Here is a 16,117-nt window from a genome sequence, read left to right on the forward strand (position 1 = left end):
TGAACCCAGGAGGCGGAGGTTGCAGTGAGCCGAGATCGCACCACTGCACTCCAGCCTGGACAACAGAGCAATACTCCGTCTCAAAAACAACAACAACAACAAAAAACAAAAAACAAAAAAACCCGGAACAGCGCCTGGGGTGTTCAATAAATATTTACTGAATGACTGGATGAATGGATCCAGGAAATGAACTGAATTTCATTTTTCTGTAACGCGGAGTGAATGGGCACTAGGGGGAGCGTGAGCTCCCTCTTAGCCTTCGAAAGGGCGTTTCCCACACTTGCACCTGGGGCCCACAGGCGGGGGTTTGGGAAAGTAAGTGTAGTGCTTTGTAATGATCATTGAACCCTGTATTTCTGAAGTGCGTTAAGACCTAATAGCCACCTGTATGAGCGAGCGGTTGAGTATTTCAGATTCCCCCACCAGATTCACTGAGTGGTGTCATTACCAGCCAATACTGCAGCTATGTGGTCCTGCTTACCTGGAGTACTGGAGACCAGAGCCAGAGAACGGAGCACAAACAGCCACATGAAAAGAAAGCACAGTGCACAGAGCAAGTGTTTGCAGCCAGGTGCAAAAACTCTTCACTAAAAACACTCGAGAGCCAGGTGCAGTGGCTTACACCTGTAAACCTAGCACTTTGGGAGGCTGAGACAGGAGGACTGCTTGAGCCCAGACCAGCCTGCGCAACATGGTGAAACCCATCTCTACAAAATTAAAACATTAGCTAGGCATGGTAGCCCGCACCTGTAGTCCCAGCTACTCGGGAGGCGGAGGCTAAAGGATTGCTTGAGCCTGGGAGGCCAAGGCTGCAGTGAGCCATGATGGTGCCACTGCACTCCAGCCTGGGTGACAGAATGAGGTCCTGTCTCAAAATAAATAAATGAAAACTCAAGAATTAGACAAACCAGATGGCTCTGGACCCAGTAGTACGATTAGTAGAGTGGAAATAAGAAGACAGCATGAAGAACTGAGGGGCAAGTTGAGAAGAATGGGCTCGTGCAGTTGGTGACTTGATGGCTAATTTGCACCTTGCCACTTGGCACTTGGTCACACACAGTTTTCTATTACTTTCCTCTTTTCCAGAGACTCAGAGCCTTGGGGCACTGAGGGATGCCAGTTCTGCCTGTTCATCTGGAACCTGGATCTAAGGAGGGAAGAGGCGTTGCCCCTGCTGGCATAGTCAGGTACCAGCCCAGCCAGGTAAGAACCTAAAGTCCTTGTTGCTTTGTGATTTTCCCTTCATCTAGAGAGGAGGCCTTTGGAGAACAGGTCTTGTGGGTGCTTTGTCAGAGACTAGAAGCCGAGAACATCCCTTTTCAGAGCTCTGGGTTTTCTGTTCCTCATGCAACCTCTGCAGTTGGGATGAATAATATATTTTAATTTTATTTTACAATAGGGAAACTGACAAATATTGAATTCCTGAACTGAGCAATCTTGGCCTGTAGGCCCATGAACTTGGAGAAAAAATTAAATCTTTATTTTTATTAACCTTTAACTCAAATTTAGCATTTTCTTAAAATATGGATATAGGCAAGAAACCACAGTAGAATCAGCAGAACTTGTGACTTTGTCACCAACAGAAATCACAGATATTTTCATACCACATGATATGTTGTAGCTATCTCAAGACATTGTTTCTATTCATCACTACTTTGAAATTCTGGGAGTCCTTAGATCACTGCTAGATCTTAATATTTCATGCATCAAGGAACACATATATTACTATATTACAATTTTTAAATATTTCAGTATAATCAATTTCTTCCTATGTAACACAGCATACCTTATTTTATGCGTTTAAATACGTAGGCTTCACCAGACTACCAAAGATTAAGAAAAAGGTTAAGAACCTTTGCTTAAAGGAAATGCTACCTTAGAGCTCTGTTAGCCTCTCATTCACTAATTTGCCATGGATCATAAATTAATATAATGCAGATTTTTTTTGAAGCCTAGCAAAGGAAGTTTAGCTTTTAAAGCATTGAAAGGACGTCTTATCACTAAGGGATTCCCATAGATTTAATAACAAAAATGGTACTATAGGAAGTATATTGATTTGATCTTCTGCATTTTCTGGATAAAAGGATGTATGCAGAACCTTTCAGCTGTCATTAAACAAAAACAAGAGCTAATGCATAAGGCAGCTCATGAAACTTATTCAAGACTGTAAATAATTGATAGGCTGAGCTTGTGGTGGTGCTGCTTCATACATCCTTAATTGATTAAACATTTTTTGAGTGTTGAAGTTAATGGTAAAAATAATAGCCAACAGTTGGGAATGTCATTTTTCCAGTATTTCTTCAATTAGGGTAATGTACATTAAACACAGACTTTTACGTCCTCTGACCACTAAAGTTATGGAATCCATATTAGGAAAATTCAAGTTTGGAAGTTTGAGGCTTTTAGAAATATGAGAAGTGTTATTTAAGCAAATTTAAAATTTTACATTATCACCGCGAGCAGAAAATGCAAGGGTTTGTGTAGAATATTTTGTCTTTTTGGAAGTAATGCTGCAGAGATACTTAAGCCAAGAAAAATGTTGCCATTTTTTGTTTTCTTTTCTGCAGGTATTGAACGGGCTGAGCTTTTCATGATGGTTCCTGCTGACCTGGAAACATCTTAAATGGAAGGTTAGCTTCTATGAGTCACTGATACTCTTTTTATTGCTATTTCTAAATTTCCTTGGCTTGAAAATTACTTCTGCTTTGCAGAAATTATCTGCTTGCAGCTGTGGATAATTTATAACAATCTCTGGTGAAACCTCAGAAAAGAGATATGCTTTTGTCTTAGATGGATGTCAGCAGCTGCTGCAGAACCCGGTGAAAACACCCCCCGGGTAGCACGAGGCTCTGCGAGCCGTAACTCCGACAAACGCAGAACTTCTTGAGGCTTTCTTCTTCTAAGGAGTATGACACAGTTAAAAAGGAAAAAAGAACCACAAGCAAAACAGTTGCCAGTGAAATAGGAGAGGGAGCTCTTTAAACAAGGCTGGCTGCAGCTGGCCTCCGCCGCTCATCTGCAGGGCGTGAGCGCTTGGTCCATGCAGTGAAGCTCTTCCAACCTGGGTCAACGAAAACGGAGAAGAAATGGCCCAAGAAATAGATCTGAGTGCTCTCAAGGAGTTAGAACGCGAGGCCATTCTCCAGGTCCTGTACCGAGACCAGGCGGTTCAAAACACAGAGGAGGAGAGGACACGGTAGGCTGCCCTTCCCGGGGGGTCACTTTGGGTGTTTAGCTTTCTCTGCTTGGGGCCTGCCACTCCGTCGCCAATGCTGTTTGCTTACAAATCACTACCCACCTGCTGCTGGGCTTCGTGCCTGAGAAGGGTCCTAACGAAGGTCTGTTGGTGGAGATGATCCTCCTTATGTAACTAAACGTAGAGGACGCTCAGGAGGAGGAGGGAGGCCGCTCTTGTTATTCATTTAAAACGGTGCCTTTGGGCGGTAAGTTTGCTGTCTGCCATCTGCTTGTCTGTTTGCCGACTTCGTGGGAATCATTCAAGGGACATTTTCAGGCTTCCAGTTTACCCCTTCTTTAAGGAAAGACCTCCAGTTAAGGGTTTTCCTACCTCATTTTTGACGGTGCCGGGAGGTGTAAAGAAAAGCAAAGAAAGAGGCTCACAAGCAGCAACTCTGATGGAATCCAGCCCTGTCTTTTTTTCTTTGCTCGCTTTTGCTTCCCAGCTGGCTTTGAGGAAGGGGGAGCATAAAATATGAACCTGCTTAGCCTGTTTCCTGACCGCTTTGCCAACAGGGAACTCTTCCCTGTCTGTCTCTAAGCTGCACGGGCCGTTTGATATGGGTCAGCATTTAGAAAAGCGTGCTGAACTCTAGCAGAGCAGTGTTCCGCCTTAGCTGTCAAGATCCATCTTTAAACAGGTTGGCGCTTGTTTATCAATGTCTATGGAGGAAGTGAGGGTTTGGTTTCTAATGGCAGAACACATTAGAAAACAAAACTTTGGACAACCAAATGCTTGAGGAGTGAGGAGAATTTTCTGGTATAGTATTCTTCATCCTCCCTGTTATTTCAAAGCTTTCTAAGTGCACTTGTAAACTTTCTTCCATTAAAAACTATAATACAGTCTGGGCGTGGTGGCTCACGCCTGTCATCCCAGCACTTTGGGAGGTTGAGGCGGGCGGATCACCTGAGGTCAGGAGTTTGAGACCAGCCTGGCCAACATAGTGAAACCCTGTCTCTACTAAAAATACAAAAATTAGCCGGGCGGTGGCAGGTGCCTGTAATCCCAGCTACTCAGGAGGTTGAGACAGGAGAATCCCTTGAACCTGGGAGGTGGAGTTTGCAGTGAGCTGAGATCGCGCCACTGCACTCCAGCCTGGGCAATAGAGCAAGCCTCTGTCTCAAACCAACAACAAAAAAACGAAAACAAAAACTATAATACAGTGAGAAAAGTGAAATTTTATTTGATGATGAAAGATCTTTCAGTGATTTGAGACATCCTTTTGAATATTAACAAAGTGACATAGACATAGTGATAACAAAGTTGTATTTCAAAGGGTACTAATTCTAGGGTAGATCCTGAAAGTTGAATTTTAAAGTGCATTTCTGATGTCATCTTGTTTCTTGGGATTGGCTCATCTTTTCTACAAGTAGGTATCACAGACATTCATAAAAGAGCGTGCTAGTAAATGACACCTTTTTGGTCCAATACAGTATCTCTTTGCACTATGGCTATTTGTCTAGGGGAGTGGGCTGACCACTTATTAAAAAAAAAATGTAGCAAAAGCATAGCATCAGTTGATTTTATTGGGCAACTTATACCCATAGCAGGATGTATGCTGTGTGTTTCTAGATTATTCCATGCCTTGCAGATTAGAATGGATGCTCCTTTCAGTGTCTTTTCCTCTCCTTTCACTATTCTTGCTTACTATCATAACAGCCTTTGGGCAGGAAGGGATGGACCTAGCAGGGAGCTTCTCTGCCCCAGGCATGTTATTTATACTTTGCCATTTAGTCCTCACAGCAACCCTGGGAGGTAAGGTCATATCACCTGTTTCACGGTTGAAAAAACCCTTGAGACTCGACTCTGAGATGTTGAGTGAGAGCCCAGTTCACACAGCCATGTTGGAGTCCAGGGATGTCGAATGCCAAAGCCCCTTCCCTTGCCATGGGGGTTACTGCCTGGGCTCTTGCCCTATAGCCTGGGGTCAGGTGTTCCATCTAATACTATCTTCTTTAACTCTGAGGGCTGCAGGAAACTGAAAACACACCTGCAGCATCTCCGGTGGAAAGGAGCGAAGAACACGGACTGGGAGCACAAAGAGAAGTGCTGTGCGCGCTGCCAGCAGGTGCTGGGGTTCCTGCTGCACCGGGGCGCCGTGTGCCGGGGCTGCAGCCACCGCGTGTGTGCCCAGTGCCGAGTGTTCCTGAGGGGGACCCATGCCTGGAAGTGCACGGTGTGCTTCGAGGACAGGTAAGCATGGCCGGTGGTTGGATCCCTCCCACTGATTCAGGTCTCGGAGGAGGCCTCTTTACAAACCGCTCATAAAGAGAGCACTCACTCCTCACCTTCAGCCAGTAAATGTGTACCGAGTGCCTGATAGGGAGCTACCTTTCTAGCCTTGGAAGTTATCTTCATCCAAAAATAAATTTTATGTAGCAACATTTTTTTCATTTACAGAAGTTTGGGCCAAGTGTGGTGGCTCATGACCGTAATCCTAGCATTTTGGGAGGCCAAGGTGGGTGGATTGCTGGAGCCCAGGAGTTTGAGTCCAGCCTGGGCAACGTAGTGAGACCCCATCTCTACAAAAAAATACAAAAATTAGCCAAGTGTGGTGGTGCATGCCTGTAGTCCCAGCTACTCAGGAGGCTGAGATGAGAGGATCATTTGAACCTGGGAGCTGTGATTGTACCACTGCACTCCAGCCTGGGCAACAGAGTGAGAACCTGTTTAAACAACAAAAGTTTGTTAAGTCGAAGGATGGGCTAACCCAGGAGTTCAGATTCATTTGGGTCTCTTAACTAAGTGCTGTCATTTTCTTAGCACTTAATTTATCTCCTTCAGTACCAGTGGAGTAAATTATAATCTAGGGAATATTGGAGTAATCATCTGAGGCTTTAAATACTGCGTTTTTGAAGCTGACCTGTCTTTAATACTCAGCTAAAGAAATGGACATGCTTCCCTTTAGTGACAGACTGAATCTACGTTTATAGTTATCAATTGGTGTTTAGGGGGTTTTAATACCAGTTTTAACATGGAATTGGTGTTTTTGCGTTCCCCATTCTGAAAACGATAAAGAGCCAACTTGGCTTAGACTCCTGCTGTTCAAAGCAAGAATGAACTGGCCATGAGCTCCGTGAAAACACTAGAGGGGTGACTCCGTCTGCTGGGGGAGACGGTGCACAAGGACATCACAGAACTTCGGAGAAGGGAAGGAATACTAGGCTGGTGTGAATGGGAGTCATCAGAGACCCTGAGATTTGAAAACAACTTCTAAATATTGCCACAGATGTGTGAGTGCCCCAGGGACAAAGACTGTGGGAGGCACTTACACAGTGTGGGCATTGTGGCTGGGGTTTCTTCCCCCTAAATCCGGAGGGCTGTGTTTAACGCACGCCCTGGCATTCATTTACTTAAGTGTCCTGTCCCTTTGCAAGGCTTACTGTATTTCAGTCATCTAGCCAGAGAGGTGAAGTGGTTCAACCTGATTTCTTTGCTCTTGAACTGCATTCCGTCCATTTCGCTCACAGCGTGCCAAGTCGCACGGACGGTGGCCGAATTCGCCTTCTCATCTCATGTTTCTTTGGTTTGCTGAAGCCATTGTCCTTCAGGCTTTTCCTTGCTTGAGAGCAAAAAATAATTACTGTGAGCTGCCCTGGCGGCATAGAGAGCAATTCCAAATCATCTCTAGAAAGGTCTCAGTATCTTCTTCCCCATTTCAACCAACCATATATATTTGAAGTCTAATAATAAACATTGCTGGGCAGGGTGTTACATTTCTCAGCATTTTTTCTTCTTCTACCAATGAACTGTAAACGAAAAATCAAAACAAGAGGACAAGGTCTGAGGCAATCTCCCAGGAAGCTGACAGTGTTGAAATCTCTGCCCTAGTGAGTCTTGTGTCCCAGGCACTGTAACTTTACCCTCTAAGTACATGAAATACGACTTCTAAAACCCCAGCTTCCTTATTTTGAAATGAGGTTGGTTTTCAAAATACTTAAGGTCATTGCATTACTATGAGTGCATTAACAGGAGAAGTCGGGAGGGGAGAGAGCCAAGTAGTTTGTGGTGATGTGCATTTTCTTTCCCCTCGCCTTGCTCCCTGTCCCCGCAGCCCTCTGTCCTCTCTCCAGCTTTATCCAGTCTGGGCTGTCCTCCTCCTCTTTAGGACCAAAAGAAAGATGAGACTTTGTAAAACTTTAGAATCTTTGACATTCATAACTGTCGCACATCTGGGGACCTAGAAAAGGTTTTTGACCCCGATCATTGTCTCCCCTGCTTCTTCCTTCGCTTCAGGCTCATTTCTCAAGAAAAAGTGGATCTGTGACAGGAACAAGATGAGGAAAATTGGTTTTTAAAATCAAGAAAGGGGAAGTGCTAGGGTAGCAATGACCAAAACCAACCAACCAACTCGCAGGTTGCTGCAGAACAAGAGGCCTGTGGCAGGTGTTGGCCCTGATCTTGTGTTGAGAGGTTCCAGAAGACATTTAAGATAAAGTTTCTGTCTTCAGGGAAGGTTTTCTCTTAGAGAACTGAGTGCCAAGTTGCTAAGGGCCCTGGGAGCTCAGAGAGGGAGAGATGAGGCAGGCTGAGTGGCTCAAGACGACTTCCAGAACATCCATGGTTGGAATAGTCTTTTAATGTTTTATTAAAAGCATAAAACAATCGTGTGGGGTAGCTACTACTTTCATCCTCATTTTACAGTTGAGAAAGTGGAGGATTAGAGACACAAGATGGTTTGTCCATGTCATATCAGTAAGAACAGAGTGAAGATGGCAACCCAGGTCCCCCCGGCCCCCAGGCCTCCTTCTGAATCTCCAGTCCTCTCCCGCCTGCTAGGAGCCTTGTCCTGGGAGGGCAGAGTCTTTTATTTATTTATTTATTTTGAGACAGAGTTTCACTCTTGTCACCCAGGCTGGAGTGCAGTGGTGTGATCTCGGCTCACTGCAACCTCTGCCTCCAGGTTCAAGCGATTCTCCTGCCTCAGCCTCCCAAGTAGCTGGGATTGCAGGCACCTGCTGCCACGCCTGGCTAATTTTTATATTTTTAGCAGAGACGGGGTTTCACCATGTTGGCCAGGCTGGCCTCGAATTCCTGACCTCAGGTGATCCACCTGCCTGGGCTTCCCAAAGGGCTGGGATTACAAGCATGAGCCACTGCGCCCGGCCGGCAGAGTCTTAAAAGCCACTTAGAAGAGCTTGCCTCCAAGACAGTAGGAGCTGGAGCCTGAGCATGTGCTCTTTGCCAAGCGAACACCATGCCGAAAGTCTGCCTGGTTTTGCAGGGCAAGATCAGGAGAGCGGAAGGTAAAGGTAAAAGAGCAATCTGAGAGTTGCTGCAGTGAATGAGAGGCACCGAGGGAGGAGGCTGGTGGCAATAGTGATGGAGAATGGGAGAGACAGGAAAAGGGGAGGATGGACCTTGGTTACAGGGGATAAAAGAGAAAGGTGAAAAGTGATTCTGAGGACTGGCCAGACAGGTCGCTTGGCATGCTGAACTGGATCACGGGGCATCCGAGAACCGAAGGAACAGAAAGAGCCCAGTAATCAAAGGCACACTGGAAAGGACTTAGAAGAACCAAGGAAAGTTGTTTTCAGTAGTGAAGGGGCTCCTGTTGTCCTCAGCAGGGGCCGATCAGAAGAGGGTGACTTGGGAGGAGAAACAAAGAAGTTAAAAGCAGAAACATCCTTGTTTTCCACTGATGTTTCTTCCCGGGGAATGTATTGACACTTTCTGCAGTGAAATGGCAGATGGTAACAATTATGTTGAAATATCAAGGAGGAGACTATGCTTTGTATGTTTGTTTTAGCTTCATCAAAAAAATAAGATTAACCTTGATGATTTATGTTTGCATTAATTTTTTCTATTAAAACGAATATACTGTGTCATAACTAATTCCACATCTAAAAGAAACCTGGTCTTCTCCCTTAAGATTGCTGAGGAATTACTCTTGTTCAGACTTGTTTCCTTCAAACTGTGATCTTCTTGTCATGCTTTGTAATTGCTGTGACAACAAATCAATGATTCTTCAGCTTCAGGTATCTGTGGACACACTGCCTGTTTCGTTAGGAACATTTTGCTGCCAGTCAGGTGCTTTAGAACCAAATTGGTTTGTACAGAGAATTCTGTAAGTTGCAAGTATTTTAACAATGATAAAGGTGCAACGGAGCTTATATACCATCATTAGAACAGAAGGTTTCAAGTTGCAGCAGGTGATACTGTTGATTTCAGGGTACTTTCCTGAATTGCTCAAATTTGTCTCTTGTACCACACCTGATGCCAACAAAGAGCTGCTTAAGTGTGTTCGGTTGAAAAATTGATCCAGACCTTGGCATTTTATTATTATGTCCTTAGTTCTCAGGTTGGGTCTTGAGTTATTGCTGCAGAGCAGTAGTGGTTAAAATAAGATCTTGGAATTTATCAAAAGGGAGGTGAGCTGGATGTGGTCATCCACGAGGTCATGGATGTGGTGTGTATGCCTGTGGTCCCAGTTACTCATGGAATGCCCAAGCGGGAGGATCACATAAGCCCAGGAGTTTGAGGCCAGCCTGGCCAACATAGTGAGACCTCGTCTCTGAAACAACTTAAAAAGGTTTTTTGTTGTTGTTGTTGTTGTCATTCAGCATTTCAGATAAGGACTTAAGATGTAAAGATATTGTTACAGGATGATGCATTGTATTTTCTGCATTGCATGAAAGAATTTTTATTGAAAATGAAGTGACATTTCAAAGGAAGTTCTATTCTAATTATGTTTCTGCCTAAAGTAAACTTCCCAGATTTTAGAAAATGTAATCTTTTAAATTTCAGACTGGTTTTCCCAGTACTTTTATAATCCCATGTTTTGATAAAATATTGAATTATCATTTTATATTCACAAAGGCAAATAACTAGTGTATGAGAATGGGATAATTCACTCTCACTCTTGAAAATATATCTACCCTTCAAGTGAGTAAAAGGTCTAACTCTGCTAACTCTGTAAAAGATTGAAAAGAAATTGAATGCCAAGTGTGATACAGGAGAGTTGGCAAGGAAAGATTTTAGCCTGGTGCCAAGGTTAAGATGATATTTGTCTACTGACTCTTTCCTGTTTCAAAACCTTATTTCTTTTTTTCCCTCTAAATCCTACTTTTAACATTGCTGGCCGGGCATGGTGGCTCATGCCTGTAATCCCAGCACTTTGGGAGGCTGAGGCGGGTGGATCACTTGACGTCAGGAGTTCAAGACCAGCCTGGCCAACATGGTGAAACCCCATATCTACTGAAAATACAAAAATTAGGCCGGGCACAGTGGCAGGCGCCTGTAATCCCAGCTACTTGGGAGGCTGAGGTACAAGAATCGCTGGAACCGGGGGGCGAAGGTTGCAATGAGCGGAGATCACACCAATGCCCTCCAAGCTAGGCGACAGACTCAATCTCAAAAAAAAGAAAAAAAAGAAATGTACAGAGTATTTTTTTTTTTTTGAGACTGAGTCTCGCTCTGTCGCCCAGGCTGGAGTGCAGTGGCATGATCTCGGCTCACTGCAAGCTCCGCCTCCTGGGTTCACGCCATTCTCCTGCCTCAGCCTCCCAAATAGCTGGGACTACAGGCGCCCACCACCAAGCCCGGCTAATTTTTTTTGTATTTTTAGTAGAGACAGGGTTTCACCTTGTTAGCCAGGATGGTCTTGATCTCCTGATCTAGTGTTCCGCCCGCCTCAGCCTCCCAAAGTGCTGAGATTACAGGCGTGAGCCACGGCGCCCGGCCTATGGAGTACTTTTTAGAAAAAAAAAGTTTCTTTTGTGTTTACTAAAGGGAATGTTTTGACAATAGTGTGTGTGTTTTACTAAAGGGAATGCTTTGACAATAGTGTGTGTGTCATTCTTCTTGTTGAAACTGAACTGTATTCTGTAGTCAGCACTTGATTAGTTAGGGAAAGTCCTGCCTTTAAAACCTTTTTGAGAACCGGTGAGCTTTCTGCGCATTGTCTTTTGTTAATATTCTCTGTTGTCACCTTACGTAGTTCAGCTGAAACCTGTCACCCTGTAAGGGAGGGGAGCCCCAAGAGAGTTTTTCTGGGTTGGCATTTTGCATGGTAGCCAAGACAGTTTAGCATCCAGGGTTCACACCAAGAATGGTTTATAGATAATTTTATCGGTGGCTCATGCCTGTAATCCCATCACTTTGGGAGGCTGAGGCGGGTAGATCACTTGAGGTCAGGAGTTGAAGACCAGCCTGGCCAACATGGTGAAATCCCATCTCTACTGAAAATACAAAAATTAGCCGGGCATGATGGCGCACCCCTGTAATCCCAGCTACTCTGGAGGAGGCTGAGGCAGGAGAATCTCTGGAACCTGGGAGGCGGAGGTTGCAGTGAGCTGACAGCGAGACTCAGTCTAAAAAAAAAAAAAAAGATAATTATTTAAATTATTTAGCCAATCATTTTGAAACCTCTATATTTTTATAATTATTATCTATATGTTATACAGCATCTCTTTCCATAATTATTTTTGTTACCTTCAGTGTTTTCTGATTATATTTACAACAATATTTTAAACCAACTTTGCATTTTATAACTGATTCAAGTGCTCATTGCTAGTCTTTGGAGACCATGATTTCCCAGTTTGCAAGTTCTTTATTTTGATTCATTTTTCAATCACTTGAATTGCCTCCTTAAGAAGTTTTTCCTCACACCTGTAATCCCAGCACTTTGGGAGGCCGAGGTGGGCAGATTGCCTAAGCTCAGGAGTTCATGACCAGCCTGGGCAACACAGTGAAACCCTGTCTCTACTAAAATACAAAAAATTAGGTGGGCATGGTCGTGTGTACCTGTAATCCCAGCTACTTGGGAGGTTGAGGCAGGAGAATTGCTTGAACCCGGGAGGCGGAGGTTGCAGTGAGCCGAGATTGCACTACTGCACTCCAGCCTGGGCGACAGAGCAAGACTGTCTCAAAAAAAAAGTTTTTCCCCAGGAGAGGACTGTGAGTGGTGTATTTTCCACGTCATTGCGTATTTGAGAGTTGCTTTCCGTGGTCTTCCTTCATGAGGAATGATTTCACTGGGTTTTAAGTCCTGGGTTGCCACTGTTTACTCAGTAAATGCAGCCATGTTGCCTTTTGGAATTTAACATTATGGAGACAGCTGATGCTAGTTTTATTTTTATTTCATTGTTTATCTCCTGATTTTTATGTAGAAGAAACATACTGGTTTTTTTGTTTCTTTTTTTTTTTTTTGGCAGAGACTGCAGCCTTATTCTCTTTTAAAACTTTTTATTTAGTTGGTTTTTAATTTTTTTAATTTAATTTTTTTTTTGAGACTGAGTCTCACTCTGTCGCCCAGGCTGGAGTGCAGTGGCACGATATCAGCTCACTGCAACCTCCGCCTCCTGGGTTCAAGTGAGTCTCCTGCCTCAGTTTCCCTAGTAGCTGAGATTACAGGTGTGTGTTACCACACCCAGCTAATTTTTTGTATTTTTTTGTAGAGATAGGGGTTTCACCTTGTTGGTCAGGCTGGTCTCAAACTCCTGGCCTCAAGTGATCTGCCCGTCTCGGCCTCTCAAACTGCTGGAATTTCAGGCGTGAGCCACCTCACCTCACCTAGTTAGTTTTTTTAGAGACAGGGTGTCACTCCGTCACCCAGGCTAGAGTACAGGGTGTGATCATAGCTCACTGCAGCCTCCAACGCCTGGGTTCAAGAGACCTTCCTGCCTCAGCCTCCCAAATAGCTGGGACTCCAAGTACGCACCACCACATCTGGCTGATATAGATATGTTTTAAGACAAGGTCTTACTATGTTATCCAGGCTGGTCTTGAACTCCTAGCTTCAAGTGACCCTCCTGCCTTGGCCTCTCGAAGTGCTAGGATTGCAGGTGTGAGCCACCATGCCCAGTTATTTTTTTTTTCTGTATCCTTTTTATTAAAAACAGTTTCTAATATGTGTCTGGGAATGATGTTTTTGTGGATTAAGGGCCGTTCTTTTGAGCTGCTCCCTCTTGGGTCTCCTGGGTTTTTATTTCGGTTTAACTCAGTCATGCTTTCCTCAGTCAAGTCTGATTGTTCTCAAGATGCTTTCATGCCACTTACACAGCTTCTTTGGGAATAGCATTTTTTTTTTTTTTTTTGAGACGGAGTCTTGCTCTGTTGCCCAGGCTAGAGTGCAGTGGGGCGATCTCGGCTCACTGCCAGCTCCACCTCCCAGGTTCACGCCATTCTCCTGTCTCAGGCTCCCGAGTAGCTGGGACTACAGGCGCTGGCCACCATGCCCCCCTAATTTTTTGTATTTTTAGTAGAGACGGGGTTTCACCATGTTAGCCAGGATGGTCCCAATCTTCTGACCTCGTGATCCACTGCCTCAGCCTCCCAAAGTGCTGGGATTAAAGGTGTGAGCCACCACGCCCCGCCAGGAACAGCTTTGAAGGCATAAGTTGGCTTCCTTTTCTCTTTGTATTAATAATCTTCTTCCTCGGGCCGGGCGTGGTGGCTCACACCTGTTATCCCAGCACTTTGGGAGGCCGAGCTGGGCGGATCACTTGAGGTCAGGAATTCAAGTCCAGCTTGGCCAACATGGTGAAACCCTGTCTCTACTAAAAATACAAAAATTAGTTGGATGTGGTGGCACATGCCTGTAATCCCAGCTACTCCGGAGGCTGAGGCAGGAGAATCGCTGGAACCTGAGAGTTGGAGGTTGCAATGAGCCGAGATCGCACCACCGCAGTCCACCCTGGGCAACATAGTGAGACTGTGTCTCAAAATAATAATAATAATAATAATAATAATAATAATAATGATGATGATGATGATAATCTTCTCCCTCAACATTTAATGTCTTTTTCTTTCTCTTTCACATTCTGGCAAGTGTCTCTGCCAAGTCAGCCTCACAGATTCAACTTTCTAGCCTGCCATTTCTGCTCTTTTCTGCTGATGAAACAGTTCATTCTGCTTTGGCTCTGTTAGTTTATGAAATATTCCCTTATTGTAGTCCCACCGTCTCTTCATCCTGGCTCTTCCTTCTATCTTGCTGTGTCTTTTTCTCAGAGGTGGGTCTTAAATGTTTTTGGAGGCTGACTGCTTTCTGAAAGTTCCCTCTGGTTCCACGGTGATGCACGGTCACAGAGGCTGCTGGCCTGGTCTTCTGGACTCCATGTACCCTGACTATGGCATTTTATCGGAAGCTCTTGGTTGTCTCTTTAGAAAGCCAGGTTGAGCGGTTGCCCACAGAGAGCGTGTGCTCCTGCTTTCGGCCTTCTCATCGCCCCTCTGTCGTGGTGGATCCCCCTTCTTAGGTCTACAGGGAGAGGACAGGTCGGGGCACAGCATCTAACCGTTTTTATTGCCAAGGCCTTAAACAAGTACGGCTCTGTCCAGCTGCAGTAGAATTTTTCCTAATTTCATTGACTGGTTATCTGATATAACAGACCAGGAGTCACAAACTTGACATCAACAGACGACAGACAGGGCACAGACCTTGTTTGTTCTGACCTGCGCAGTGTTTAATATTGATCATTTTAGTGCTTCAAAATGGGTGTGTATCCTCTGGTTAAGCAAGTTCCCACCCCTCCCTGTTGTCTCCCCTCCCAGCCCCCTTCCCTCATTTACAGTTTCTGCTTGGGCCCTCAGTGTGTGGCCCTGCCCGACACAGTTAGAGGGTGTGACACCTACTCTATGTACATATGTAGAAAGCTGAAACTGGATCCCTTCCTTACACCTTATACAAAAATTAATTCAACATGGATTAAAGACTTAAATGTTAGACTTACTCAATTTCAGTGCACACTGCTACAAGGCTACACCTATTTTGGATCCCACCTTATCTCTTTAATTCTAAGGATGCCCCCCTGCGGAGGGGAGGATATTCATTCATTCACTGGGGCTGTAATGTGCCTGGCCAGAGCTTGTAGCTGTGAATATAGCACTGGATGTGACAGAGAGGGGGGCACCTGCCTTCTCTCTGAGGTTAAGCAAGGGAGAGTTATTCGTGTTTTGTAAGAAGTGTTGGTAACAGCTTGATAAAAACCCTTTCTTTATCTTCATCTTGATTCTCTGACTCCTTTGATAGTTACCTAGGATTCAATCACAATGATCAGTCTTTTTTTTCCTGTAAGGATGTGGAAATCAGATCAATTGAGCTAGTGGAAAAAAACGAGTATTTTGCTTTGTAACTATGAACCATTTTAGATGCGAGACTAGTTGAAGTAGGGCCGGTCACAGTGGCTCACGCTTATAATCCCAGCACTTTGGGAGGCCGAGGTGGGTGGATCACCTGAGGTTGGGAGTTCGAGACCAGCCTGGCTGACATGATGCAATCCCATCTCTACTAAAAACACAAAAATGGCCGGGCGCAGTGGCTCACGCCTGTAATCCTAGCACTTTGGGAGGCCAAGATGGGCGGATCATGAGGTCAGGAGATCGAGACCATCCTGGCTAACATGGTGAAACCCTGTCTCTACTAAAAATACAAAAATAAATTAGCCGGGCGCGGTGGTGGGCACCTGTAGTCCCAGCTGCTCAGGAGGCTGAGGCAGGAGAATGGCGTGAACCCGGGAGGCGGAGCTTGCAATGAGCCAAGATGGCACCACTGCACCCCAGCCTGGGCGACAGAGCGAGACTCCATCTCATGGATAGGAAGAATCAATATTGTGAAAATGGCCATACTGCCCAAGGTAATTTATATCCCCATCAAGCTACCAATGACTTTCTTCACAGAATTGGAAAAAACTACTTTCAAGTTCATATGGAACCAAAAAAGAGCCTGCATTGCCAAGTCAATCCTAAGCCAAAAGAACAAAGCTGGAGGCATCACACTACCTGACTTCAAACTATACTACAAGGCTACAGTAACCAAAACAACATGGTACTGTTACCAAAACAGAGATATAGACCAATGGAACAGAACAGAGCCCTCAGAAATAATGTTGCATATCTACAACTATCTGATCTTTGACAAACCTGACAAAAACAAGCAAT

At 44.8% G+C, this 16,117-nt stretch overlaps 1 protein-coding gene across 23 annotated transcripts in view, besides 1 other annotated feature; it reads left to right on the top strand.

Annotated features, from left to right (window-relative positions):
* The window catches only part of SYTL3 (synaptotagmin like 3), a 119,936-nt gene that overhangs the window by 15,247 nt on the left and 88,572 nt on the right, over positions 1-16,117 (top strand). For 6 of the 23 annotated variants that reach the window (XM_006715606.4, XM_047419556.1, XM_047419552.1 and 3 more), the window contains exons 3-6: positions 1,087-1,203; positions 2,568-2,630; positions 2,791-3,196; positions 5,213-5,431. In XM_006715606.4, coding sequence (XP_006715669.1) covers positions 3,087-3,196; positions 5,213-5,431 — 329 coding nt within the window. In that variant the 5' untranslated portion in view covers positions 1,087-1,203; positions 2,568-2,630; positions 2,791-3,086. Of the gene's footprint in view, positions 1-1,086; positions 3,444-5,204; positions 5,432-16,117 lie in introns of those variants that run through there. The other 17 variants (XM_011536254.3, NM_001242384.2, XM_047419558.1 and 14 more) reach the window with 12 other exon arrangements.
* Positions 278-357: a silencer, noted in NCBI's record as "silent region_17742". NCBI's record gives its function as "represses an Ori minimal core promoter by ATAC-STARR-seq in GM12878 lymphoblastoid cells {active_cell/tissue: GM12878}" and the evidence as "EXISTENCE:reporter gene assay evidence [ECO:0000049][PMID:35858748]".

This window comes from Homo sapiens, chromosome 6 (genome assembly GCF_000001405.40).
Source record: "Homo sapiens chromosome 6, GRCh38.p14 Primary Assembly".
Lineage (NCBI taxonomy): Eukaryota > Metazoa > Chordata > Mammalia > Primates > Hominidae > Homo > Homo sapiens.